Source organism: Homo sapiens, chromosome 1, assembly GCF_000001405.40.
Source record: "Homo sapiens chromosome 1, GRCh38.p14 Primary Assembly".
In the NCBI taxonomy this organism is placed as follows: domain Eukaryota; kingdom Metazoa; phylum Chordata; class Mammalia; order Primates; family Hominidae; genus Homo; species Homo sapiens.
In genome coordinates this window covers 109,749,314-109,775,993 of record NC_000001.11, presented here as the reverse complement: position 1 = coordinate 109,775,993, position 26,680 = coordinate 109,749,314, and the positions used below count along the sequence as shown (strand labels likewise).

Genomic DNA, 26,680 nt, shown 5'->3' with positions numbered 1-26,680 from the left:
CCAATGTCTTACATTAAGGTTTTGGACAGAGATATAAGAAGAGGTGTGCTATCTCAGATCACAACCGCCAAACCAGCTGAGGGGTGAGGGGAGTCCAGGGAGCCTTCTAGAGGCAGAGATGTTTGAGGTGAGATGGCAGGGAAGATGAGGCTTTGGCCAAGCAAAGAAAGCAGGGAGGCCGACGCAGCAGCAAGGTGTGGAGAGGCAAAGTGCTGCAGGTGCCTTCAGGGAGCTTTGGGTTGTCTTTGTGTCTGGGTTTGCAGCAGAAGGGTGAGACCTGGTAACCAGCAGAGGCAGAGCTCAAATGCCATGTGCAAAGTCAAGGTGTATGATTTTCTTTTAAAGCATGGGAGCAACTGAAGGATTTATAAGCCAGGGAGTGACATGTGCAGATTGGAATTTTAGAAAACTCTGTTGGGCAGAGCTGGAGAGAGCTCAGAAGGGAGTATCCCCTGGAAAGGAGATGGCAGGAAAGGCTCGGGAGGGTGTGGGGGAATAAGGGGTAAAGGATTGTGGGGGGGGGGGTCTGAATTAAAGCAATAATAACAGAGAAGTAAAACTGTCAGCAGATTCTGGAGATTTAAGGAAGAAAAATAGAGGACTCAATGGCTGCATGTGGGAAGTGGATAGTGGGACCAAAGACTGAGATGGGGACACAGGGGAAGCGCGGTATTGTGGAGACAGCAACACCAGTCTGCAGCATGATGCACTTGAAATGTCTCAGGGACATTGGCCAAAGGTGGGCAAGAGATGGTCACGTGGCTGGATTCAAGATGCAGAGACAGGGTGCTGGAGGCATCAAACACAGGCATCTTCGGCTCCCAGACTGTAGCTGAAGCACTCGCTCAGGGGCAGTAGGCAAGGGAGAGAAGGGAGGTCAAGTGAAAGGTCCCATTCTTTTTAGGAGCTCCATGGCTATTCACTGAGGGTACAGAGACAAGAACAGATGAGAGGCAATGCAGTTAGTGAAAAGGCATTCACGTCAGAGGACATGGGCTCATGACAGCTCTTCTAGATACCTGACCATTTCTTTAAATCTCCAAGCCTCAGTTTCCCCATTCATGAAATGGACCTAATAATACCTACGTTGTAGTATTATTGAAAAGAGGCCGGGAACAGTGACTCATGCCTGTCATGCCAGCAGTTTGGGAGGCCAAGGCAGGAGGATCGTTTGAGGCCAGGAGTTCAAGACTAGCCTAGGCAACATAGCAAGATCCTGTCTCTACAAAAAAGTTTAAAATTAGCTGGGTGTGGTGGTACACCCTTCTAGTCCTAACTACTCAGGAAGCTGAGGTGGAAGGATCACTTGAGCCGTGATCACGTCACTGCACTCCAGCCTGGGTGACAGAGCAAGACGCCATCTCAAAAAAGAAAAGAAAAATAATAACCATAAAGCACATCACATAGCTCCTAGCAGAGAGCTAGTACCATGAACAGCAAGCACGGAGAAGCTACAAGTTTCCAGAATCTTCCAAGTCTGCCAGTGTCCCCACTGGAAGTCCCTTTGGACCTCTCTACCCATCAGTCATATTACCAGCTGGATGAGCAAATGCAGCCTGGACCTAGATGTCTGTGCAGCTCCCTTTCGCTTCCCCGAGTGGCACCGGCTGGGAGACCCCAGCTCTGTGGGCTCTGTCCTTCCCAGGCATGGTGTGGGTGGGTGGATGCCACAGCCCAGCCCTCCTGACGCCCCACCCTCCTGACCTCCTGCCTTGCCCTCAGGACCTTCCCTGGAACTGCAGCTTGCTGGGGGAAGGAAGTGCACAGCTGGAGCCCCTGCCCCTGCCCTGTGCCTGCATCCTGGCGGTGTCCTTCCCAACACTCCACCCAGTAGTCCCAGAGGGATGAGGTGGGCTGGAATGGAAAGTGAGGTTCAGAAGTCAGGGAGCCCATTAGAACCAAACTGCCCAGCTCCTCTCTGCAGCACATGGTTGGGGGGCAGGAGAGAGTGCCCCAATCTGGGACCCACACAGGCAAACTTCAAAGAGGTCATCCAGTGAGGCGGCCACCCTTGGCCTCAGTTTCCTCATCTGTAAAACACCATGTTGGGCCAGGTCATCTCTGAGGTCCCTCCCACCCAGAGTGCAGTTCTACGTTGTCCTCTCCCGTCCTGACTGCGACTCACTATTTCCAGCAGAGGGAGCCGGCACCTCTCCGCAGACAGCCAGGAACCAGTGCCACTCGTCTGGCCAAGGATCTGGAAGCCTTAATAAATGTCTATGTGCTAGGCACGTGGCATGCTTAATGCAATGCCTGGCCAGGGCGTGCGTTCCATAAATAGAGGCCATGGTTGTCTCCATTTCATAGATGAGGAAACTGAGGTTCCAAGAGTTTAATTTGAACCCAGGGGCTCTGGCTCTGATGGTCTCTGGGCAGCTCCAGGAGGGCGTGATACCATCTCTAAATATCTGAAGGGCTTGCCGTCAGAGAGGGGCACATTGCAGGGACGCTCCAGGAATGCAGGTCTGAGCTTGGCCTAAGGAAGAATGTTCTAATGGTCAGAGCTGGCCAGTTGAGACAGGGCCTGCCTTGGCTGGCTGTGAGCACCCTGTCTGAGGGATGGCCTCAGGGAGTCGGGAATTGAGGGATGGTGGGTCTCTCTCGGCCCCGTCCAGTCCAGAGGGCCACATTCTGAGAGGACTGAAGGGCCAGACACAGTGGATGCCTGCCTTGAATCACAGAGGTCACCGTCCTCCCCATGGTCTCCCAGCTGCCCTGGGGCTGGAGAGTCCCGGCATTTTCTCTGAGGGCCTCTGGATCTCAGATCACTGGTGGAGGGGCGGTCCCCTACCCACTGTTCCACAGCTGCCTACATCCACTGGGGACAGTTCTGGAATTCTGGGTAGGCCTCTCAGGGCAAGATCTTTGGTGGCCTATGTTCTTCGCAGGGCGGGACCCCTTCAGCCTGATGGGAAGGTCTGCAGAGCCACAGGCCAAGCTCACCAGCTCCTTCTGGGAGCCCTTTGGTCTGTCTGCATAGGTGTCTATATGGACAAATATTCCTGGCACAGAATCCACTGAGGGGCAGAGTTGGGGAGGCCAGGGCTCCTGGCTCCAGCTGCTGCCCACTTTCAGGGAGAGCACTGTAGAGCAAGAGTCTCTGGAGTGGCACTGCCTGGCTGTGGCACAGCACACCCCCGGGGCACCCAGGAGGCTGGGTGGGGAGAGCAGGGGCAGCTGGAGGGATGACTTCTCAGGTTCAAGCTGGTCGGGTGGCAGCCTGGCACTGGTCACTTCTGGGTGACACTTAAGACAGGACATTGCCAACTGGAAGCGGGTAGAGCACGGGCTCCCATTAGAACCACTGGGAGATTATAAATATTTAGATTCTGGGGCTCCTTCCTGGAACTCCTAAATCAGACTCTCCATGGATAGAGTCTAGAACTTTACATTCTTAACCAGGCTTCCCAGGCAGTCCCATGGAGCCAGGCATTTGAGAAACTACTCTAGAGAGATGAAGATGCAGTGAGCCTGGGCAGCCTGCTATCCAGGGTGGCAGAAGAGCTGGGGAAAGCCTGCCTGGGGAAGAGGTGCCTCAGAGGGATCAGATCTATTCTGGGTGGCACAGGGATGGCTAGCAGCAGAGGAAGTCTTTACAGGGAGGTCGACTTTCAGGAGGCTGTTTATGGAGCCCCTCCCCTGCTCCAGACATGTGACCAAGTTGTCTTATATAAACCATGCAGTCATCATCATCCCTTTTGACAAAGGATGAACTCGAAGTTCAGAGAACTCAGGTTCCAAGGCCACATGGCTAAGAGCCAGAGATAGGATTCACACCCAGTGTTCCTGACGCTGAACCACTTCCTCTGTGCGATGGAGAGCCCCCTCCATGGCCCGCATTGCTGGGGAGGTGATGAGCTTCTGGTCCCTAGCAGGGTTCCTCGGCAGCTGAATCCTGGAGGGGAAGTCTTGCTTTGTGCTGACCTGGGAATATGTGTGGGGTGTGGTACCAAGAAACCAAGGAGGGGCTCCCAGACTCCTCCATGCTGGCTCTGTGCACACACCTACACACATAAATGCACACACACACACCCACACGCATGCACACGCAGACACACACCTCCCCGAAGCTCAGGAAGGCTAGGACCACTCAATGCCAACTGGGATGAGGCCTGGCTCTGGCCTGAGACCTAGGAATTCCTCAGGGACATAGCCTAGAGCCTCTGGGACCACAAAGGGGCCACACATCAGACAGAGGGGAGCTGAGCCCTCCTACTGGCCTTCCCAGTCCCAGGGCCACTGTTCTTACCCTTTGACAACCCCTCGGGAGCAAGACAGAGTCCCAGGGCTGCAGAAGGAGTCCCTTTCTGGGACATTTTTGTCTTGTTTTCTTACTTTAAAAATTACCATTTATTTTGTGTGGGGTGACATGGGAATGGAGATGCACTGATTACAAAAATAACATAACATGTTCTTTGGGGAGGAGTTGGAAAACATAGAAAAGCACAAAGAAAGTAAAACCACAAAGAAGTCCCCTCATCCCAACACAGACACACATCTAAAGATAACTAACATTCTTTCTTCTCGTGTCTCTTCTTCAAGACATTTTTTGTTTAGATTTTCATTACAACTTTTCTTAACAAAATTGAATATTACCAACTTGTAAGAAGCTTTTTTCACCATATACTACATCATGAACGTTTCTATGTTTGGGTATTTACATAATTGCCATGTTTCCTGTTTAGATGTCTATGATTACAGGTTTCGTTTAGACTTTTCTGTTTCAAGTTATATGACTTCTATTTACCTATTTGTTTGTGTGTTTGCTTATTTCACAAAACTAAGATCTACATTTTGTAACTTGTCTTTTTCATCTAAGGCTAATGGGGAGCTTTTCCACATCACTGAATATCCCTTCACCACATGGATCTGAATGGCCGCACTGTGTTGGTCTTGGGCAGTGGTTTAAAGTGGGGGCAGGAGCAGAAGTGTCTGAGGGAGCGGGCAGCATTGGTCAGGCCCTCTCCCCTCCATACCCGTGGCTGCTGGCCAGGCCTGGCCCAGGAAGAAGCCTCAGTGCCGCCAGCTCCTGGAAGGGGGCCCAGGGCATGGTCCTGCATGGTGATGGGACCGCCTCTCCCTGTCTCTCCCCACCTGCCGCATAGACTGAGCTGGACCCAACCAAGCCCCTCCCCTGAGATCCCCTAGGGCTTGCCTTTCCCGGAGGCTGCTCTTTCCTCAGCAGCCACCTCCCAGCCTGGCCCTGGATTCCTCTCCTCCTCTCCAGCCCAGCTCTCCTGAGAAGCCTGTTCTTAAGCCCAGTCCAAGGCTGGCCTCTGGAGAAGGGCTTTCCAGATGTCCCTGAGGTCCCTTCCTCCAGGGCTGTCAGGGCAGTGGGGCCAGGGTAATCCAGGCTCCTGGGACTGCCTACCTGGATGGGATGGGATGCAGAAGAGAGGGAAAGAAGGAGGGGGCATGTGTAGGAGTCACCCAGGGGATCCAGGGCTGGGAAGGTGCAGAACCAAGGCCCAGAATCGGGAACTGAGAAACATCTGGACCGACATCAGCTGCCAGGGCAATGAGGAAAAGGCAGGAGAATTCATAGCCCTGAGCACTGGCTTCAGATTTGGGGTTTAAACAAATGGAGGCACCGAGGAGAGCTAGGAAAATGGGGGCGGGTCTGAGATCCCAACCCCAGTCCATCCCCGGACAGAGCAGCTTCTGGAAGCACGTTAGGCCTGGCCTTCTTTCCTGAAAACTTAAGCCACTGGGCCTCTTGTAATTGTGGGGCTACAAATCACCCCCCTGCCTTCAAATCACGCACTCGCCCTTCGTCTGCCTTTATCGAGGAGGGCAGGCAGGTGGAGGGGTGGGCAGCATGGCAGAGTCTAGCCCAGGTGTGACCAGAGGCTCCAGAGACAAGCCCACCTTCTCCCCTGCCCTCCCACAGAAACCGCCCTCCTGCCATGCGCCCAGGATCTCTGTTGTCTCATCTGTCTCTGCAGTAGTGTGTTCCCACTAGCCATTATGCCAAGTCTTCCACCCTGAACACATCTGAACAAGTTTCTGGTATGTCATCCCTGGCCCACCATCCCATCCCCAGCAAAGCCTCCCATGCCCACTGTCTACACTCGGCGACTCACTCACAGCCCACCTCCTCACCCTCACACTCTTCAGCCGTCCCCAGCTGGCTCCAGCCCCCACTGCAAACCCACAGATGGTAGCCTTTCCTCCACCTCCCAGCAGCACCTGGCCCAGGTGTCCACCCCTCCTTCCTGAAACACTCTCTTCCCAGCTCTCCTTGCTGCTCACTGGCAGCCCCTTAGTCTCCCCTCATCCTTCCCAATCTCTTAATGTTGGAGCGCCTGGGTTGAGTCGTGAGCCCCCTTCTCTTTATCTATACACTTTCCCGCATGTGGTCTCGTGAGTCTTAGGTCTCTGAATGTTATTCGTGTATTTACAGCTGCCAAGTATCTACTGTCTTCTACACTGCAAACGTTCCCCGCATCATTGAATCATCTTTCTCCACATGCTTCTGAATGCCTGCATGTGGTCATCCTGCTCTGCTGAGCTTCTGACTCACACCTGCCCCTGCCTTCCTGCTACTTCCACCCAGAGGCCCAAAACACCTCTCAAACTGAGGCCATCCAGAATGGAACAGTAACTCTTCATATCCCCCTGCCTCCCAATCCCTCTTCTCTTCGGTTTCCCCATCTCACCAGATGTCACCATAACCCTCCCAGTTGTCCAAGCCAAAAACCTGAGTCCTAATAGGTCCTTTTTCCCCTCTCAACCCCCATTCTAATCCATAGCATGTCCCATCCGTTCCACCTGCAGCCTAAGTCTCCATCCTCACTGCCCTGCCATGTCCAGGCCTCACCACCCTCTCTGCAGCAGCTGCTTGTGGTCTCCCTGAGTCCGCCCCCACTCCCCCCACAGCCCATTCTCCCCACCCCAGCCAGAGTTGTGACTAGAACATAAATCCAATCATGCCACTCCTCCATTTAAAACCCCTCCGTGTCTTCCAACTGCCCTTGGAATAAAAACCAGGCTCCTGGCCATGGTCTACGGAGCCCTGTGTGCTCTGGCCCCTGTCCACCCCATTTCGGTCACCTCTCCGCCAGCTCGTTCCTTCTCAGCTGCAAGCCCTTCACATTGCTGGCCCCCTCTCCCAGGCTCCTTCCCATCCCTGGCTTAGCTTGAAGCTCCCCTCCTCAGAGAAGCCTTCTCCGACGTCGTGCTTCCAAACACCCTCCCACCCCCATGCCATCATCCACTTCACTCTATTTCTCTCTTGTCACTTGTCAGGACCTTGATTATCTTCAGATACATTTGTTTCTTCTACCTTGGCAGGTTAGTTGCGAGGGAGGGACATCATCTCTCTTGTTTATGTCTCCACCTGGCTCGTAGAAGCCACTTACCCCTGTGCCAGGGCTGGGGAAAGCAGGGGCAGGGATGGGAGCTGTCTCTGTGATTCCCCAGCAGCCCCAGGGCCAGGTGTCAGCCCCTGGACAGGACCACCATGACTCAGGGAATGCAAGGGCTGGCCCTTAAAGGACACACAGGAGTTCAGCCAAGGGGTGAAGTGGGCAGGGAATTGCAGGCAGAGGGATTGCAGTCCTACTGGATGAAGCGGCCTGGGAAGAAGAGTTGTCAATCAGCCCCTGATTGACATTGAGGCTGCCTCATCCATGCAGTCCACCAGCAAGAGGTGCTGGCTGGACCCTGCTCTGGGGTCTGGTTCTAAAGGTGAGGCGGCACCCATTCACCTCTGAATGCCAGGGCCCTGCCCTACCCCCTGCATGGTCATCCATGAACACAGAGCTCTTTTCCTCAGAGCCCTCCAGAGTTTCCCAGCTCTGACCAGGGCCTGCTCTGGAGCTTCCAAGGAACCCACCCTGCTTCTTGGCCCAGGCCAGGGTGGTGGGAGGGGCTCCTTGGCCCCTTAGCCTAAAGCCTGTGCACCTGGGTCTCTTTATATGCTGAGAACCAGCAAGCGGCAGCGTCTTCCACAAGACAGAAGACCCAGTAGCCTTCTTGTTGCATCTCCATGCAAAACCATTCAATGGCTCTACTCACCACCAGGTGATGACGGCACACATATGCTGTCATCTGCCACCACCTCCCCGCCACATACACATACACATGCACACACACGCGTGCACACACACAGTTCACGCCATACCCATCTTCTCCCCAGGCCGCTTCATCCAGTAGGACTGCAATCCCTCTGCCTGCAATTCCCTGCCCACTTCACCTCTTGGCTGAACTCCTGTGTGTCATTGAAGGGCCAGCCCTTGCATTTCCTCATCTGAGAAGTCCTCCCTGACACCCCCAAGCCGAGTAAGGTTCTTTATGCCTGCATACTACAGTGCTTTTGTTTACAAGCCCTTCTCTCCTCTAGACAGTGGCAGAAAACAATCTGGGTCCTCAGGGACCTGAAGGGGGCCTGCCCCTCCACACCTGTGGGTATTTCTCGTCAGGTAGGACGAGAGACTGAGAAAAGAAGACACAGAGACAAAGTATAGAGAAAGAACAGTGGGCCCAGGGGACCAGCACACTCAGTATGCGAAGACCTGCACCGGTGCTGGTCTCTGAGTTTCCTCAGTATGTATTGATTACTATTTTCATTATCTCGGCAAAGGGAGTGTGGCAGGAGAACAGGGTGAACAGGATGATGATGGGGAGAAGGTCAGCAGGAAAACATGTGAGTAAAAGAATCTGTTCATAAATAAGTTCAAGGGAGGGTACTGTGCCCGGATGTGCACGTAGGCTAGATTTATGTTTCTCTTTGCCCAAATATCTCAGCGTAGCAAAGAGTAACAGAGCAGTATTGCTGCCAGCATATCTCGCCTCCAGCCACAGGGCGGTTTTCTCCTATCTCAGAATAGAACGAACAGTCGGCTTTACACCGAGACATTCTGTTCCCAGGGACATGCGGGAAACAGAGGCCTTCCTCATCTCAACTGCAAAGAGGCCTTCCTCTTTTACTAATCCTCCTCAGCACAGACCCTTTACGGGCGTCGGGCTGAGGGATGGTCAGGTCTTTCCCTTCCCATGAGGCCATATCTCAGGCTGTCTCAGTGGGGGGAAGCCTTGGACTATACCCACGCTCTCTTGGGCAGAGGTCCCTGCGGCTTTCCACAGAGCATCGTGTCCCTGGTTAACAGAGAATGGAGAATGGCGATGACTTTTACCAAGCATACTGTCTGCAAACATATTGTTAACAAGGCACATCCTGCACAGCCCTAGATCCCTTAAACCTTGATTCAATATAGCACATGTTTCTGTGAGCACAGGGTTGGGGGCTAAAGTTACAGATTAACAGCATCTCAAAGCAGAACAATTTTTCTTTGTACAGATCAAAATGGAGTTTCTTTTGTCTTCCTTTTCTGCATAGACACAGTAACAGTCTGATCTCTCTTTCTTTTCCCCACAGGGACCCCAGTCATGGGGGTATCCCCCTCAATGTGATACATGCAGTAACAGAGGGACACATGTACAACGTGTCTGGAAGCCACGGGCCAGAGCCCCACCAGCCCTGGGCAGTGGGAAGGCTTCTGAAGGAGGGCTACTGGAGACATAAAGCCATAGCGTGTCCACAGGGCATGCCAGACAGAGAACAGCAGCCAGCCTGGTACCAGGGTGTGACCCTTCAAGGAATTACAAGCCATGCCCCAAGCCGAGTATAAAGTACAAGGGGCAGGGAGTTGGGGGGAAGATAAGGCCAGACTCAGAAGCAGGAGACTTGAGTTCATCAAGGACTTCAACTGCCCTGAGAAGGAGTTTAGGTTTTGTCCCGTGAGCAGCGGGAAGTCACTGAGGGGTTTTAGGCAGAGGAGTGGACAATCAAATCTCCAGCTAAGAAAGCTTCCCTACCAGCAACCAGTAAGGATCAATGAGAACAAGAGTGAAGCGAGGGCGTGGGTGAGGAGACGGCCGCAGGGTCGAAGACAGGAGGTGTAATGGGGTCTGAGGAAGACAGTCGCAGTGGGGTGGAGAGGAAGGGGGCCACTTAGGACTTGCCACAGAGCTGGGACTGCAGGAAGGGTAGTCCATTGGGTGTGAGGATTGAGGGAGGACTCCCCTCCCTGCTGGAACACACGATTGGGAGCTGATGCCTTCCCTGAGATGGGAGCATGAGAGGGGAGATGGTTTGCTGAGAAATAATGAACTCAGCTTGAATTCCAAGGTGTCTGTAAGCCCTCCAGAGGGATCCTAGCACCTCTCACAGTGCCTAGCAGGCAGGAAGCCCTCAATTCTACAGGAAGTTGTGGAATGAATGAACGAATGTGGTCCCACAGCCTTTTAACCCCACAATTTCAAGGACATGCCCTTCGAGTCCTGCTTCCTTCCCCTCCAACCTAAGTCCCAGCTCCTGGTGCCTCAGCCGAACTCCCTTGCAGAAGAGCTGCTGTGGCACCCGGAGCTTTGTGCAGAAGCTTCAGTTATGGCCCCAAGTCCCCAGGTATGGGAAGCTTGGCCTCTCCCTCTTTCCTGATTTCCCTCTTCCCTCAGGGGGCTCCACAGAAGCAGATGTCCCCAATACCTGGCCCCAAGCCCCAGACCCACCAAGGCCACAAAGGCTTTATGTCTGAGGAGACACACACTGCTCCCAGGGGCACCCCTAAAGGGCACTGCAGAGGGCAAGGTGCTGGGAATGCCACTCATTGTTTCTCTGCCCCTGCCCACCTTGCCCCAGAGCCCCCCCAGGAGTCCCTGCTGTGCTCACACTGACTTGGGGAGGGTCCTATGGGAAGGACGGGCCTGGCCTGAGCTGGGCAGAAATGAGGTGTTGCCTGAGCCCCAAGCCAGGGCTGGGGTGAAATATGACTGTGGCCTTCACGGAGTTGGGGGAGGCAACGAGGGGACAGGCTGTGCTATCCCAAAAGAAGCTGAAGGGCCACAAGATGGGGACCCAGGGGAAAGAACCCCAGGACTGCTTCCCATGGGGCTGTGGCTGGGTGCTGGCCTCACAGGCACCTGATCCCTGGGCCCCAGCAGCTGGCTGTCCACTGGACTCTCCCAGGGACACACACAGCCCAGACAGGGAAGGCACCTCCCTAGGATCTGACGCATGGACTCCAGGCCATCCAGGGCAGCGTTGGTTGGGTGGTGATGGGAGAGAAGGCTGAGATATCCTGGGATAGTTCCAGGGAAGCTAAAGATGGGAGTGCTCCAGCCCTCAGACTCCACAGGACACTCCATCACAGGGCCCAGCACCGGGACCCTGCATTCTGCCCACGAGGGTCCGAGGCTCACTGGCACTCCCCCGCCCCCGCCTCCCCTCCTGCCCTGCTCCCTGGTTTCTGTTTATACCTGGCCTTGTTGGTTAGACTGTGAGTTCCCAGAGGGCAGGGGAGCCTGGCCCACTCTGAGTGCCAAGAAAGATTTTTCGATACCATGGAGTGCAGGAAGTGGGTAGGTTTATGACTAGAGATAGATGCAGGCCTCCGTTTTCCATCTTTGCTGAAGCTGGCCAGGCGTCCACCAGGGGTCTGGGCACAAGATGGGGTACAGAAGGAAAGAGAGTGGAAGAGCGAGAAAGGGCTGGTAAGGGGGCTCCTGCTGGAAGGGACAACAGTAGGGACAGAATGAGGGCCCTGCCAGAGGGAATCTCAGCGCTCCATGTAATGCCCCAGGGGCCTCAGTCCCCATCTTCTGTGACAAGATCCATGTCCTGCTCACAGGCACCACCCAGGTACACAGGATCACACACCTATGGGTGCCACCCACGCACAGGCATGGCACACACGCCAGCCCACAGCTTCCCCCAAGCCTGGAGTCCACCTCCAGCCGACCTGTGCCCTCACCACAGAACCCAGACTCTGGGCCATGTGTGCTCTCTTCTTCTGGTCCCAGCCCCGTGCCTGATGCTGACCTGTTCCCCAGAGTAGGCACCTAAAAGGCAGAGGGAAGAGGGGGCCACACCCCAAGGCTAGCAGTGGGGGAAACAGGGAAGCAGGGGCCTCTAGCTAAGCTGGGGACGCCAGTCAGCACAGACACTGCCGCAGGTCCAGGTTGATGTTGAGCGGTTAGTGACCAGGAAGCCTCCCCACCCACCAGAGTCCAAAGAGCACAGGCGTGGCTGCCTCTGTAACCTCATCAAAGGCAGGCTCTGCCTGTGGCCACTAGCAGAGAAGCTGCTGTCCTTCCACCACCAGCACCGGACCACCTGCTCCAAGACCAGCCTCCTGGGGGGACCAGGCACCCGGCCTTCACTGGCACCCAGGTAAGGGCCTGGCCCCCAGGGAAGATCGGGGCCCAGCCCAGTCACAGGGGATCTCAGGGCAGGTGGGGGCAACTCAGTGGCTTCCCAGGCCAGGTCTCCAGCCTGTTCCCAGCTGCAGCCCAGGGGATCAAGCCCAAGGAGGGGCTTGGGACTCAGCAGCTGGCTGGTGGGCTGGAAAGCAGAGCGAGGTCCAGGCTCCGGAAGGGCCTCTGGGATGCTTGCCCCAGGGTCTATGAGGTGATGGCCTTCCCTGCTCCAAACCCCTACATCTAGGGCTTAAAGGGGGGAAATGGGCTGTCACAGCTCCCCTACCCCTAAGGGGCAAGGCAGGCCAAGCCAGCTCCCTCTTCCCTCCCTGGGGTAGGGAATCTTTGGCTGCAGCTGTTTCCCCACCTTGACCTACCTACCTAGAGGGCCCCACAGGGCCCACCCTGGTGTTGAGGGAGTGGGGAGTGGGGCTGACCAGGGGCAGACCTCACTTCCTCTTCTGCATGGAGAGCATGGAGAAGCAGGAAGTGTTACAATGGGGGTTGGGGGAGGCTGGGGAAGGGGAACAGGCTTCTAGCCCCGCCTTACCCCTGGAGAGAAAAGGGGTCCTCCCAAACAAGGAAACCAGAGATCCAGCCGTCCCTTCCACATTCCCTTAATTGTTCACTGGCAGTTTATTTCCTTCCACACTGAGTCATCTTATCAGATCCTACGTCATTTTCACAACAGTCCTAATAAACAAGGGTATGGGTTGCTCTCTCACATGTTACCCGGGGTAGTCCAGTATTTCTGCACAACTGAGGTGTACCATGTAGACATGTGGATACCCACAAACCTCATTTGGATAACACATACCCTTGACCCGCACAGACTAACACCACCCCCACCCGGGACACACACACCACATTTAATTCCACTCCATTTCAACATGTATGTTCTCTAGACTCCCTCTGTGACTGCGCACAGCCCAGCGGCAGAGGCATGTTTATAAACCATTAAAACACGAAGCTTGCAATCGGACAGATCTGGGTTGCTCTCTATTAAACGTTCATTTGTGACCTCAGGCCTGTTACCGTCTTTGAGCCTCAGAGTCCTCATATGGTAAATGGGGACAATACCAGTACCTGCCTTGTGAGGTTGTTTTGAGGATTAGAGTGACTGAAGGTAACGCCGTTAGAACAGTGCTAGGCACGTGGCGCCAAGTAAGTACAAGTGGACGGCAGTGAGGAGAAACTGATAGGATGTTGGTAAGGGGCTCAGCACCAGGCTCACAGCACCGTGGTGGCTATTGTGACTATTGTTGCTGGAGATAAATGTACAAGGTCCAGTGCAGCATTAGGAGGGTACCCTGGGCAGGGTGGGGTTGGATGGTCCAGGAGGGCTTCACCAAGAGGGTGATCTTTGAGCTAGAATTTAAAGGGTTGGGGTCAGGAGGGGACCTGGGCAGAGGATACAGAGTACAAAAAGCAAAGAGCCAGGAGGCCTAGGGAGACACTTGGGGGAGGTCAGCTCACTGGCGAGTCCTGCAGTGCCACCATAAGTACACACACACATGCATGCAGTCTTCCCAGAGGGTCTACAGCTGAAGAGCCAGCATCAGCGTCCTCTCAGTTTGCAGAACTGAAACAGGGTCGAACAAGAGGGCCTCCTCTGGCGGGGTCGGCTACAGAACCCTCTGCTCATCCAGCATCTTTCATACCCAGGCCCAAGATAGGATCTGAACGCAGGTCCCTGTCCATCCAGGTTTCCTGGGCTCCTTGGCATGAGCTTTATCAGCCAAACCATGGGAGGCCTGGAGCCTTCCCTGAGGCCCAGCCATGCTGTGGCCTCCCTGACCCTCCCTTCCCTCAGCCCGGGGCCTCCAGGCCCAGCCAGGATGGAGGGCTCCTCAGTGGAGGACGCTGGCTGCAGATGGCTCCGGAAAGGGCCCCTGGAGCCAGGGGCTTTGGGTCTGGTCCCAGAGGCCCCCAGTCAGAGCAATAGCAACTGTCCTGCCCTGCTGTGCCTGGTACACCTTTCCCCAGCTCTGATGGCTGCCTCTGGTTCACTTTGGGTTCTAGGGAGCCGTCCTCAGCAGCGTCAACATGTCAAGGCCCAGCAGCAGAGCCATTTACTGTAAGCTCCTGGCAGGCCCCTCTCCCGTGCCCTCCCACTGAGCCCCCAGAATGTCCCATCCTCCACTCCCCCTTCCTCACACCAACTGCCCCCAGCAGTTGCCTGAGTCTCACCTCGTTCTTCTGCCCACCTCCCGCCCCTTGCTCTGTGCCCTTGTAGTGCACCGGAAGGAGTACTCCCAGAACCTCACCTCAGAGCCCACCCTCCTGCAGCACAGGGTGGAGGTGAGTACCTCTGCAGCCCCCGGGCAGTGTCCAACTAAACCCAAGTGTTCCCATGTGCCCACCGCCCTGCCAGAACATGGACACTTCACACAAGTCCCTGCCCCAGAAGCCAACAGCCTGTCCCAACCATGTCGCATGGACTCAGATCCAACAAGCCTGCCAGAGCATCTGCTCAGTGTCAGGGACGGGGAGGGGTGGTCAGATTGAACAGAGCAGGCCTGGCTGGAGGTTGAGCGGGTGAGTGTCCTGTCCCCAGACAGGAAGAAGTAGCAGCAGGATGGGATAAGAAGCACCTACAACCACCCACCCACCTACCCTCCCCTGTCTCCCAACCCCCTGCTGCCCGAGTCCCCAGGGCACTGCTCCATTGCCCAAGACCTTGCATGGCTGGAGGCAGGAGTGTGTGGGATCTTTGGGATCTTTGGGCCCTGTGGGGGATTGAGAGGGCCACTGTTGGAGAGGGGAGGCACCTGGGCCCAAGCCTCCAGGGTGACTGTGAGCAGCTCCGAGGCTGCTCCAAGGCTAGAATGGAGTCTCTGGCTCTACCAGGGAGGATGATGCAGGCACTGCAAGATTTAGGTGCCTGAAGGGCTGTCGACACCAAGGTGAAGGCGAAGCACAGGCTACAAGGGCGTGGTGGGGAGAGCAGGCAGAGGGTCAGGCTGGAGCTCTGGGGTAGAAGCCATCCTGTCCTGGCCACCACTTGTTAGTGGCTCCAATGGAGAACAAGCAGGGAGGGAGCTGGGGCGATGGTCTGCAGGTCCCACAGGGCAGCAGGTCCCACAGGGCAGCAGAGGCAGAGCTCCCCTAGCCAGCCGAGGAGAGGCCAGGAGGACTCAGCTTCTCTGTAGGGTGGAGGCTGGGAAGAGGCTTCTTTTAGGCCCAGCAGGCAGAGCAAGAGGAGGATGGAGTTTGCTCATGATGCCAGAGTCCCCTGAATATGCTGGCAGTGCGAACACAGGGAGAAGAGCTGGGCCCTGGGCAGGGGGGTGGGGTCAAAGGGCAGGAGGCAGGCTGCATCTCCCTACCACAAGAAGCCTGGGTGGAAGGGGCCTTGTGAAGGTAATGTTTGGCTGGGAGAAGGGAGGGGGCTCCTAAAGGAGAGTGGATAACAGCAAAAAACTCCTGGATGGTCAGCCTAGCAGTAGGCAAGGACTTGAGCGGAGACTGAGATCACGATGGATATCTCCAGGCATGAACCAGGGAGAAGGAGACAGGAATGCTGGGTGAGTGAGGAGGAAGACTGGGCTGGGACTGAGTTCCCAAAAGGAACAAAGGAAGCCAGGGACAGAATCTGAGGGTCCTGTATCACCTCCAGAGGAGTTATTTGTTGGGTGGCTGGAGCCCACATCCTCCACCACCCAGCTGCCTCACCTGGCCTGGACTAGTAAAGGCCATGCCTGTCCTTCCTCCAGAGTCCTCAAACCCCTCCTGCAGCCCCTCAGACTCAGACTTGGAGGCCCTATCCCTGGCCCCAGTGCTTCGACACCGTCCCTCACATTGGCCCTGGAAAGTTGCTTTATCTGAAGCCTGGAACCTCCTACCTCAAGGGGGCCGAGGACACGTCTTCTTCCTCTTCTGCTTTTCTCTACCCAGCACGCCTGTGGTCCACCTCTCTGAGCTTTCTCCCAGTCCTAGGACTCCCCCTCTCCCTGCAGCACTTGATGACATGCAAGCAGGGGAGTCAGAGAGTCCAGGGGCCCGAGGATGCCTTGCAGAAGCTGTTCGAGATGGATGCACAGGGCCGGGTGTGGAGCCAAGACTTGATCCTGCAGGTCAGGGACGGCTGGCTGCAGCTGCTGGACATTGAGACCAAGGTCAGCCTTCCCAGCAAACCCAGTGATAGCCAGCCTGGGCTGTGGGGAAGCAAGCACTAGCTCTTGAACTCCACCCTCCATGCCCCAAAGGGCAGCCACTCTCCCCACATACAACACACACCCAAGCCTAGGAAGAGACAGGGGACAGAGGCTGGGGACAGAGGCACAAGAGTCAGGTAGATGACACCTCAGCCCTAGGCCACCAAAGGGCTAGGATGAGCTGGTCAGGAGCTCCCAGAAGCCACACCTAGCTCTGGTGGCCTCACAGTTGACCTCTCCACCTGGCCCAGGAGGAGCTGGACTCTTACCGCCTAGACAGCATCCAGGCCATGAATGTGGCGCTCAACACATGTTCCTACAACTCCATCCTGTCCATCACCGTGCAGGAGCCGGGCCTGCCAGGCACTAGCACTCTGCTCTTCCAGTGCCAGGAAGTGGGGGTGAGTGGTCGGGGGTGATTGGTCAGGGGTGGGGTTCATCGACCATCACCCCACCACACACACACACACACACACACACACACACACACACACTTAGCCTGCCTGACTGCTGCTTCCCAGGCAGAGCGACTGAAGACCAGCCTGCAGAAGGCTCTGGAGGAAGAGCTGGAGCAAAGGTAGGCAGCCTCTGCCCAGCCCACCTATGGGGCCTCCCAGCTCAGCCTCGGGGGCCAGACCCTGACCCCATATCTTGGGGCACCCAGGAGGTTGTGGCCCAACCAACCTGGGCCTGGACTGAGGAGGAGCCAGGACAGAGGTGGGCATAGGCAAGGGGCTGGGCCCAGAGGGCACTAGAGACTGTCCTCAGAGACTGAGATGGGACCCAAGAGGGCCCAGAGGGTAGGCAGATGAGGCAGGGTGGAGTCAGGGGTGGGTCCAGAAGGAGACCAGGGAGCAGGGGGTGGGACTCCTGGAGAGAGGTGGTGGTGCCCCTGGGTCCTGGAGCAGAATTGTGGGGAGGGCCTCTCTCCAAAGAACCTTGTCAAAGATGTGGCCCCTACCATGTCCTCAGCAGACCTCGACTTGGAGGCCTTCAGCCAGGCCAGGACAGATGGAGGGGGCCTGCTATGGAAAGGCCGCTCCCTATGGAGCAGGCACGCTATCTGGAGCCGGGGATCCCTCCAGAACAGCCCCACCAGAGGACCCTAGAGCACAGTAAGTTTGGGGCATGGGGGCAGGTGAAGGAGAGGGTTTCGATGAAAAGTCAAAGATCTAAGATCTAGGTCCATGGTCCCCTTACACTGCAGGCCTCCCACCATCCCCAAGGCCCCTGCCACGCCACACCAGTGCCCGAGAACCAAGTGCCTTTACTCTGCCTCCTCCAAGGCGGTCCTCTTCCCCCGAGGACCCAGAGAGGGACGAGGTAACTGCGGATGGTCTTGAGTTTGCTGAGGCTTTCTGGGCCTGGGAAAAGGAAGGACACCAACCCTCCCTCTTTTTCTAGGAGGCCAGGGTCCCAGGATGGCCAGGGCCTGGGCCAGGAGGCCAGAGAGGCTTGTTTATACTCCAGGCTGGGCCTGAGGCTGGGGCTTGTGGTGGGGAGGGGTGCGGGGGGCAGTGTGGGGAGTTCCAGGGTGGGCCCAACTGCCCGTTCAAGGCCATGGGTTGTTTGGGGCCCAGGAAGTGCTGAACCATGTCCTAAGGGACATTGAGCTGTTCATGGGAAAGCTGGAGAAGGCCCAGGCAAAGACCAGCAGGAAGAAGAAATTTGGGAAAAAAAACAAGGACCAGGGAGGTGAGTACTGAGGGCCAGGGAAGAGGAGTAGGGGTGTCTCAGGGTGATCTCTGGCCCACCGTCTTGGCCCCTTCTCCCAGGTCTCACCCAGGCACAGTACATTGACTGCTTCCAGAAGATCAAGCACAGCTTCAACCTCCTGGTAGGTGGCTCCCCACAAGTTCACCAGGCCTCTCCTCTTCCCCTTCCTCCCCAGTAATCCTCTGCTGTCTGGACTCAACCATCCCAAGCCTTTTTCTTCTTCATCTACTCCCCCTAGAACCTCCCCTCCCCTCTTGGGACTTTTGGGAAGTGCCAGCCTTCCAGCCAAGGCATAAAACAATTATGGTGACCTGGTGAAGATGGGGTGGGGTGAAGGGTGGTGACAGGCATTGCTCTGTGTCCCCAGGGAAGGCTGGCCACCTGGCTGAAGGAGACAAGTGCCCCTGAGCTCGTACACATCCTCTTCAAGTCCCTGAACTTCGTGAGTCAAGGGACGACAGGGTGGTGAAGACGGACAGGCTGAAGTCAAGAAGGAGTAGAGAGAGGAAAGGAGCTGGTGGAGGGGGATGGGGGAGCAGGGGCCAGGGTGGAACCAGATGAGCTGGGGTCAGAGCCAAGGACGCCAAGGCTCTAAGGGAGACAGGAAGGAGCAGCAGGCCCAAGGCAGATGGGGCCCCTTGCAGGAGGTAACATCCTACCATTGCAAAAGTGGGAAGCCAGGGACTCTGGGCCTTTCCCACCCTCACTGGGCCCTGTGGGAGCCTAGGCTTCCTGACACCTTCCATCTCTCCCCTAGATCCTGGCCAGGTGCCCTGAGGCTGGCCTAGCAGCCCAAGTGATCTCACCCCTCCTCACCCCTAAAGCTATCAACCTGCTACAGTCCTGTCTAAGCCCACCTGAGAGTAACCTTTGGATGGGGTTGGGCCCAGCCTGGACCACTAGCCGGTGAGTGAAGACAAAGCCTGAACTGAATCGGGGGTGAGGGGCATGGAGGCATCAGGCAGGACATCAGAGGTGGCCAGGCTCTATGTTGTCACAAACCAGAAATATTTCAGAGCTACTTGGGGGACTCTACAGAGAGTTCCCAACTTTTTATTTGTCTAAGTGCCAACAGTTTATTAACAAAAGAAAAGTGCACACTTGCCATCACCCACTACTGAAACATGTTATCTCAGAAAAAAGAACAGTTTTTCCCAAGAAAAGGGAGATGGCAACCTTCTACTAAAATATTTTCTCATTTTTGTCAAGGACAAAGTGAAAACTTTGTCTCAATCCAGCCCCAGATTTAAGAATTACTGACGTAAGAGATGCTGCAAATGTAATATCAGTAAGACTTGGCAACCAATGAGCCTGAGGTTAAGAGAGACAGAGATACTCCCTGCAGGGGTAACTGTGAGATGGGCAGCTGGACAAAAAAACCTAACAGGGCCAGTGCGGTGGCTCATGCCTGTAATCCCAGCACTCTGGGAGGCCAGGTGGGCGGATCACCTGAGGTCAGGAGTTCGAGACCATCCTGGCCAACATGGTGAAAACCCGTCTCTTCTAAATATACAAAATTAGCTGGGTGTAGTGGTGCATGCCTGTAAACCCAGCTACTTGGGAGGCTGAGGCAGGAGAATCACTTGAACCTGGGAGGCGGAGGTTGTAGTGAGCTGAGATCGCCCCACTGCACTCCAGTGTGTGCAACAGGAGCAAAACTCCATCTCAAAAAACAAAACAAAACAAAAAACCAAACGGATGAGAGCCAGGGGAGTGGGAGGAACCAGCTTGGGCACGCTGAGCTGAGGCATCCTTGGAACATTCCACAGAGGCCTGGTGGCCAGGCAGCTGAGAGGGGATGCCCAGATGTGATGGCTAGAGGCACAGCTACTGGGGAGCACTCCAGAGGGAGCCCCTGAACGTACCTTGACAAGCATAGTTTGCTCTATTCCATGAAAGAAGAGGCAAGGGCCTTGGCAAACTTCTACATGGCAAGTGCAAAAAGGGTTAAGAAGACAGAGAATAATTCCAGAGAGTTAAGGAGAACCTGAAGAGCAGAGGGATGAAAACCAAGAGAGAAGGCTTTAGAAAAGCAGAAAAGCCAACAGGGAAATGAGTCTTTTCTTGGAGTTATTTGCCTAATAACCACTTCTGTTTTGTTTGAGACAAGGTCTCGCTCTGTCACTCAGTCTGGAGTGCAGTGGCATGATGATCTCACCTCACTGCAGCCTCCACCTCCTGGCTCCAGCGATCCTCCTACCTCACCTTCTCGAATAGCTGGGACCACAGGTGTGCCACCTGTGTGCCACCACCATGTCTGGCTATTTTTTGTATTTTTTTTGTAGAGATGGGGTTTCACCATGTTGCTCAGGCTGGTCTTGAACTCCTGAGCTCAAGGGATCCGCCCACCTCGGCTTCCCAAAGTGCTGAGATTACAGCCGTGAGCTGCCGCACCCCGCCATGACCAGTTCTTTTCAATTCAGCCCCATTTACAAAATTTTGTGTCCAGTTTGTCTGAAGACATGAATTATAGTTCAAAACTATCTATTTTTTATTATGGTATAATATACATAGCATGAAATTAACCACTTTTATCATTTTAACCGTTTTAAGTGTATAATTCAGTGGCAATACGTTCATTAACAATGTGTGCCACCAACACCATTATCTACAGTATTTCAAGAACTTTTTCATCATCCCAAACAGAAATTCTGTACCCATTAAACAATAATTCCCCATTACCCACTCCTCAACCCTTGGAAACCTCTATTCTACTTTCTGTCTCTATGAGAATATGTTGCCTGTTCTAGGAACCTCATATAAGTGAAATCATACAATATTTGTCCTGTCGTATGTGGCTTGTTCACTTAAAATAATGTCTTCACGATTCATTCATCTATCAGAACTGCCTTCCTTTTTATAGCTGGATAATATCCCATTGTTATGGGTATGACACATTTTATTTATGTATTCATCTGTTGATGGACAGATGGGTTGTTTCCACCCATAACAATCTATTTTTATGCACTGTCTGTGCAGTCACTAAAATGAAATTACTTATCAGTTCTGGACCTCCCATCTCATACCAGAGTTCCCTTGTCCAAAACCCTGGGACTAAGAGTACCTGAATAAGCCAGTCTCACAGTTCCTAGGGCTGTGCTGGGCTCCCACTGTCTGTGGGAATAGCTCTGGTATCTGTCTAGCACTAGCAGGAGAGGAAAACAGAGGTTCTACAATAGACTCAAACAAGAGGGCCTCAAGTTCTTTCATTCAGCCACTTTAACATTGAATAACCAGGTCGAATACACCATTTTGTGTTTCAAAACCCAGCCTTACTTCTACAATTTGAGTCCTTAGAAAAACAGATTAGCACATATTATTTTTTAAATACCCACGAAGATGCAAAACAACTTCAGTATTCATAAAATGATGTACAATTGATAAATACTTTTAAATGTAATATTGTCAGATGTGCCCTTAGATGTTTTTTAGTTTCTTAACATAACCAGAAATAAATGAAAGACAGAAACATAGAAAATAGAATACCTAAAGAAATGTAAAAACCCTCAAAAGAGTTGAATTTCAAGCAAATTATATTTAGATAACTTGATTTTTGGCAAATTGACCCAAAGCTATAAGTAACACTAAATGTTGTGGTCATCCAGAAGGACAGAGACCATACAAGGCCATTGGATTTGGCAATCAGGATTTTAAATGGACTAGCTTCAATAAAGTAATGGCAGAGGTAGAAACCAGGTTGCAGAAATAATGAAAGAAACAGAGACAAGAATATATAGGCAGAGGATATAGGCACATTCTCAAGAAATTTGGTAAGAAGAAAGTAATAGGATGACAGCTTATACGGAGTAGTATTAGGGTCAAGACCCAAGCATGTTTCTAAGGCACAGAAGGAAACAATTAAGAAAATTGAGAAGAGGGAATCATTCCTTTGTTCCCATTGAATAAACACTTAATAGCTCCCTCCTATGTATCAGCCACTGTACTAGGGGTACAGCCCCCAAGGAAATCTATATATAGTAAGAAACAAAGAGCTAAGAATCATGAGCAATGCAGTGTGAGAAGAGCAATACCTAGGGATGTACCAAGTTCAGCAGAATATTTACTTCTGCCCCAGTGAAGCAAGGAGGGGAACGTCTTCAAGGAAATGAATGGGCATTCCCTGGGCAGACAAGTGGAAAATATTCCAAGCAGGGCAAGCCTGAAGGCCACAAACAGCATGGTCCTCCTGGGCCCTGTGTAATGGGCGAGGGGGAGGCTGAGAGGCAAGGACCAGCCCATCCCAGAGTCAGTCAACAGGAGCAGCTCGGCTGCTGTCTACTTCACTGGGTGGAAATCCACAGACAATTTAGCTAGAAAGAAAAGGATCTGCTGCTGGGAAACTAAAAACAGCCTAGAAAAATACTGCACAAGACCCCTGGGGTGTTGGCCAGCCCAAAAGCTCTTGTAGTTCTACTACTTTAATCCAAATGCCCAATCAGGGCAATGAAGTGTCCATCATGTTCTTACGGAGGTGGTGTATCTTTACCTCATGGGCAGAGGTGAGGTTGACCCCCAGACACCTGCACCGTGGGATGTGTCCAGGCTTAACTGCTTGCTCCTTTGTGGGTGTCCTGGGGCCTTTCATCTGTGCACATGGACCATGTCACCTATTAGCCAAAAGATTCCTGAGGCTAGGCCCTGTCGTCCCCTCCCTGTCCGCGTCCCACAGCCTGGCATCAGAGTTCACAGAGTGGATGTGAACTCAGCTTTGTTTCCCTCTTCAGGGCCGACTGGACAGGCGATGAGCCCCTGCCCTACCAACCCACATTCTCAGATGACTGGCAACTTCCAGAGCCCTCCAGCCAAGTAAGGGGAGCTTGGCATAGAGCCCTACCCACAGCCCTAGTCCCTGGCTAGTTTCTGCCCTCCCCATCCAAACCATGGTCACACAACTAGTGTGACCTAACACTGGCAAGCCAGCAAATTCCATGGAAACCCAAAAGTCACCACCAGACTGCAAACAGGAGATATTCTGGGGGACTCTCAGGGCTGGGACATAGGCTCAATTTCTGAGGCCCCATCTCCAAGTAGTGGGTGGGTGGGTGCATGTGGGTACCTGTATCTGTAAACTGGGGGAGGCAGGAAAGGGGATAGGAGGCAGCTGTGTGTGAGCTGCTTATGCCTGTGGTCGGATACCCCAGCTCCCTCCCACCATGCTGGCTGCCTCCTGCTCTTACTCACTCTCTGTTCTGTCCCTTACAGGCACCCTTAGGATACCAGGACCCTGTTTCCCTTCGGTATGCTCTGAGCTTAATAGGGACTGCGTGGTCCTGGGGAGGGAGGGACAGGGCTGTTCCTTTGGATCTCTGGCTCTCTACATCTTAAGAGAGCCAAGAGGGTCTCTTTTAGCCAGAAAAACATGTACAAGGACATCCCTCTCCTACCTTGGGTGAAAAACAGTGTTCTACCCTCCTAGGCTCCCATTGCTTCTTCTCATGATACTACCCACACATGCTTCTGATTTCCCATACTCAAGTATAAAGTGCTTAGGGCAGAACTCAGATGTAGAAAATTCCACTCCCGGAAATGTCTTCAGAAATCAATGACATTTCAGACCCCTCCTGCCTGCAGAAAGCCCCACCTAACACTGACCTGCCAGCAAACTCTAAAGAAACCCAAAAGTCACCATCAGACTGCAGGCCGGAGATACCTGAGGGGAATCTCAGGGCTGGGACATAGGCTTAATTTCTGAGGCCCCATTCTCCAGCCATCCTGACTCTGTTTCTTAGGCGGGGAAGTCATAGGTTAGGGAGCACCTCACACTTTCCTCAGGAGAAGACACACAACCATGACCCTCAGCCTGGGGACCCCAACTCCAGGCCCTCCAGCCCCAAACCTGCCCAGCCAGCCCTGAAAATGCAAGTCTTGTACGAGTTTGAAGCTAGGAACCCACGGGAACTGACTGTGGTCCAGGGAGAGAAGCTGGAGGTGAGGCTTGGGCCATAGGCTAGAAAAGGAGGTGGTGGTTGGTGGGAGCTACAGGCAGCCAAGGGTGGATGGTCCAGGGATGGAGCTGCCAAGGTGGGTGGCCTAGAGAGGGAGAAGGAGGGTAGGAAAGAGCTGGAGGGAGAAAGCCTTGTGTGGGGAGGGAAGGCTGGCTGGAAAGAGGCTCAGGGGACTGAGGTGGTGACTCTTGGCAGGTTCTGGACCACAGCAAGCGGTGGTGGCTGGTGAAGAATGAGGCGGGACGGAGCGGCTACATTCCAAGCAACATCCTGGAGCCCCTACAGCCGGGGACCCCTGGGACCCAGGGCCAGTCACCCTCTCGGGTACTACCCAGCCTGGACTATCCAGAGCCCTAAGTCTTGAGTTGGAGGTCGGGGTGGGGAGGATTCAGTGGCAAGCAGAGGAGATAGTCTTGGTTTGATTCGGACCGTATTATTGCATGCTTAGTGTGCCAACTTTATCATGGGGCCAGAGCAGAGAACAAGACCAGCTCCCTGCCAGACCAGAAAGCCACAGAGTAAGAGAAGTGATTTGATGGGAACCTGGAGAAGGGACCCAGATGTTAGGGGCTGTGGTTGGCTGTGAGATGAGATGGACTCTGATCCCTGGTTCCCCCTGATTCTAGGTTCCAATGCTTCGACTTAGCTCGAGGCCTGAAGAGGTCACAGACTGGCTGCAGGCAGAGAACTTCTCCACTGCGTGAGTGCCTGGCCCTACAGGATATGGAGGGAGAAACTTTGTAAAGGGCTAACCAAGGAAACCCAGAGACCCAGAACATACAACCTGGCCTACATTGTACATGACCCCGATCCAGCACCGTCTCTGCTGAGTTAGAGGACAGAGCAGAGGCGTGTCCAAGCCTAGATTAGAGATTAAGTGGGGAGCTCTGCTGTGGCAAAGGCAGCAAGGATCAGGGGAGTGGACTCGGGAAGAACCCCAGCTGCCAGCTTAGCCGCCCCTCCCCAGCCAGAAGATTCTCTCCCAGAGCACTTCTTTCAAATCTGGAAGTTCTGAAATTGGCTGAAGCCAAATGCTGACTTTACTCCTTCAATCTCAGATAGCCTACTCCATGAATTTTTCTGTAACCCCAACCTCCGAGCCCAAAGAGCCCTGTCTCTGCCCAAACGCTCAGGCCCAGGGTCCTTCCAGCCCACCACGGATGGCTTTTGCTGTTTTGTTCACAGCACGGTGAGGACACTTGGGTCCCTGACGGGGAGCCAGCTACTTCGCATAAGACCTGGGGAGCTACAGATGCTATGTCCACAGGAGGCCCCACGAATCCTGTCCCGGCTGGAGGCTGTCAGAAGGATGCTGGGGGTGAGGACACCCTGGGGTCCTGACAACCATTGGGAGTGTCTGGTGCTCCTGGGTGAGAGAGAGGGCCAGTTGGAAAAGCCTGCAGGCCCAGCCCTGGGGCAGAACTGAGTGTGGCGGGTGCTGGGCACAGGATATTCCCCCAGGGGCTTAGCTTCATGCATTCAGGCTTACCTTGAGGCTCCAAGCTTATTGGTGGCATAAGCTCTGCAGATCCCTCACCTGCCATCAGCCTCATCTGAATCTTTGTCTTTCCTCAGATAAGCCCTTAGGCACCAGCTTAGACACCTCCAAGAACCAGGCCCCGCTGATGCAAGATGGCAGATCTGATACCCATTAGAGCCCCGAGAATTCCTCTTCTGGATCCCAGTTTGCAGCAAACCCCACACCCCAGCTCACACAGCAAAAACAATGGACAGGCCCAGAGGCTGAAGCAAACAGTGTCCCTTCTGGCTGTGTTGGAGCCTCCCCAGTAACCACCTATTTATTTTACCTCTTTCCCAAACCTGGAGCATTTATGCCTAGGCTTGTCAAGAATCTGTTCAGTCCCTCTCCTTCTCAATAAAAGCATCTTCAAGCTTGTCATGTGCCTCCCTCGCAGCTTCTTCTGGGCCTGAGGGAGACCAAAGGCAGGGAGGCAGGAAGGGCTGGGACATTTGGCATGAAAACAGCAGCAAGCCTATATCCATCACTGAGCCAGATTGTTTGAATGTGAGTGGACATTCACACAGCAACCTGGAGCTGGGAATCAGAATTTGAGAATTAAGGTCCAAGCTCTCCTGACTCTCTTTCTAAACAAACTGCAAAATAAAGCTATGCTCACCATCTTTTTTGCACACACATGTCTCTCAGTACATTCCAAGGCACCCAGCACAGCTGCAGGCACACCACTTCACAGTAGCAAAGTGCACTAGGACCGACAGCTGTAGGCTTTGGTCAGTTGCACCAGTTGGCTGGGTGAACTCCAGCAAGTCATTCCACTCTTTGGGTCCCTGTTTTCTCAAGGGTTAAGCAAAGAGTTTGGACTGTCCATAGCTTCTTACATTTTTCAGTAAAAGTAGCTTTCTTTAATCTCAGTGGAGTCCCCTCTCTACATACCAGTAGCTATACTTTTATTGATTTAGTCAACAGATAAGGCCCAATGTACTTATGGATTTGAGGGTTCTTAAGATGTTCCCTTAAATCTCTCTTACCTGAATGTGTCCATGACCCTAACATTGTCTGGGCCCCAGACTGCCCTATTTTTAGACAGCCTATGTCATTCCCTTAAGTTCCTGGCCTCAGAAAATCATCTCTCATAGCTGTTAACAGAATAGGAAAGCAACAATTTTCCCTCACAAAAGAGAGAA

The 26,680-nt window shown here is 53.9% G+C and overlaps 1 protein-coding gene and 1 long non-coding RNA gene across 19 annotated transcripts, besides 4 other annotated features; one reads left to right on the top strand and one right to left on the bottom strand.

Moving 5' to 3' along the window:
- Positions 1-565: 565 nt before the first annotated feature.
- On the bottom strand, positions 566-16,129 carry LOC124904258 (uncharacterized). The gene is made up of 2 exons (XR_007066303.1): positions 16,044-16,129; positions 566-922 (listed from the first exon to the last, which is right to left on the bottom strand). It is a non-coding gene; the product is annotated as an uncharacterized LOC124904258 (long non-coding RNA).
- Positions 3,593-3,887: an enhancer, noted in NCBI's record as "tiled region #10752; HepG2 Activating DNase matched - State 7:EnhWF". NCBI's record gives its function as "activates a minimal TATA promoter and a strong SV40 promoter by Sharpr-MPRA in HepG2 cells {active_cell/tissue: HepG2}" and the evidence as "EXISTENCE:reporter gene assay evidence [ECO:0000049][PMID:27701403]".
- Positions 5,460-6,415: an enhancer, noted in NCBI's record as "H3K4me1 hESC enhancer chr1:110312201-110313156 (GRCh37/hg19 assembly coordinates)". NCBI's record gives its function as "activates a minimal SCP1, AML or CMV promoter by ChIP-STARR-seq in naive H9 embryonic stem cells {active_cell/tissue: H9 hESC(naive)}" and the evidence as "EXISTENCE:reporter gene assay evidence [ECO:0000049][PMID:30033119]".
- Positions 12,071-25,914, top strand: EPS8L3 (EPS8 signaling adaptor L3). Of its 18 annotated transcripts, none has more exons than XR_007063682.1 (19): positions 12,071-12,172; positions 14,221-14,275; positions 14,435-14,499; positions 16,158-16,316; positions 16,607-16,756; positions 16,877-16,932; positions 17,328-17,470; positions 17,539-17,678; positions 17,936-18,050; positions 18,131-18,192; positions 18,439-18,513; positions 18,829-18,977; positions 22,796-22,877; positions 23,274-23,308; positions 23,801-23,999; positions 24,212-24,340; positions 24,465-24,534; positions 24,643-24,716; positions 25,202-25,291. XR_007063682.1 is itself a non-coding variant. In NM_024526.4 (19 exons), exons 2-19 carry the CDS (start codon positions 14,245-14,247, stop codon positions 25,601-25,603), a joined length of 1,692 nt encoding a protein of 563 aa, NP_078802.2. In that variant the 5' UTR covers positions 12,071-12,172; positions 14,221-14,244; the 3' UTR covers positions 25,604-25,914. The 18 variants fall into 18 exon arrangements, 16 of the variants coding, with proteins under 16 accessions (NP_078802.2, NP_573444.2, XP_011540435.1 ...); NM_024526.4 differs by lacking the exon at positions 24,465-24,534 and adding an exon at positions 25,592-25,914 and having other exon boundaries at positions 17,331-17,470; positions 17,563-17,678; positions 23,891-23,999; positions 25,202-25,334; NM_133181.4 differs by lacking the exon at positions 24,465-24,534 and adding an exon at positions 25,592-25,914 and having other exon boundaries at positions 17,331-17,470; positions 17,563-17,678; positions 25,202-25,334.
- Positions 14,699-15,428: an enhancer, noted in NCBI's record as "H3K4me1 hESC enhancer chr1:110303188-110303917 (GRCh37/hg19 assembly coordinates)". NCBI's record gives its function as "activates a minimal SCP1, AML or CMV promoter by ChIP-STARR-seq in naive H9 embryonic stem cells {active_cell/tissue: H9 hESC(naive)}" and the evidence as "EXISTENCE:reporter gene assay evidence [ECO:0000049][PMID:30033119]".
- Positions 24,382-25,581: an enhancer, noted in NCBI's record as "BRD4-independent group 4 enhancer chr1:110293035-110294234 (GRCh37/hg19 assembly coordinates)". NCBI's record gives its function as "activates an origin of replication core promoter dependent on BRD2, P300/CBP, MED14 and CDK7 cofactors, and independent of BRD4, by STARR-seq in HCT116 cells {active_cell/tissue: HCT116}" and the evidence as "EXISTENCE:reporter gene assay evidence [ECO:0000049][PMID:35650434]".
- Positions 25,915-26,680: the final 766 nt, after the last annotated feature.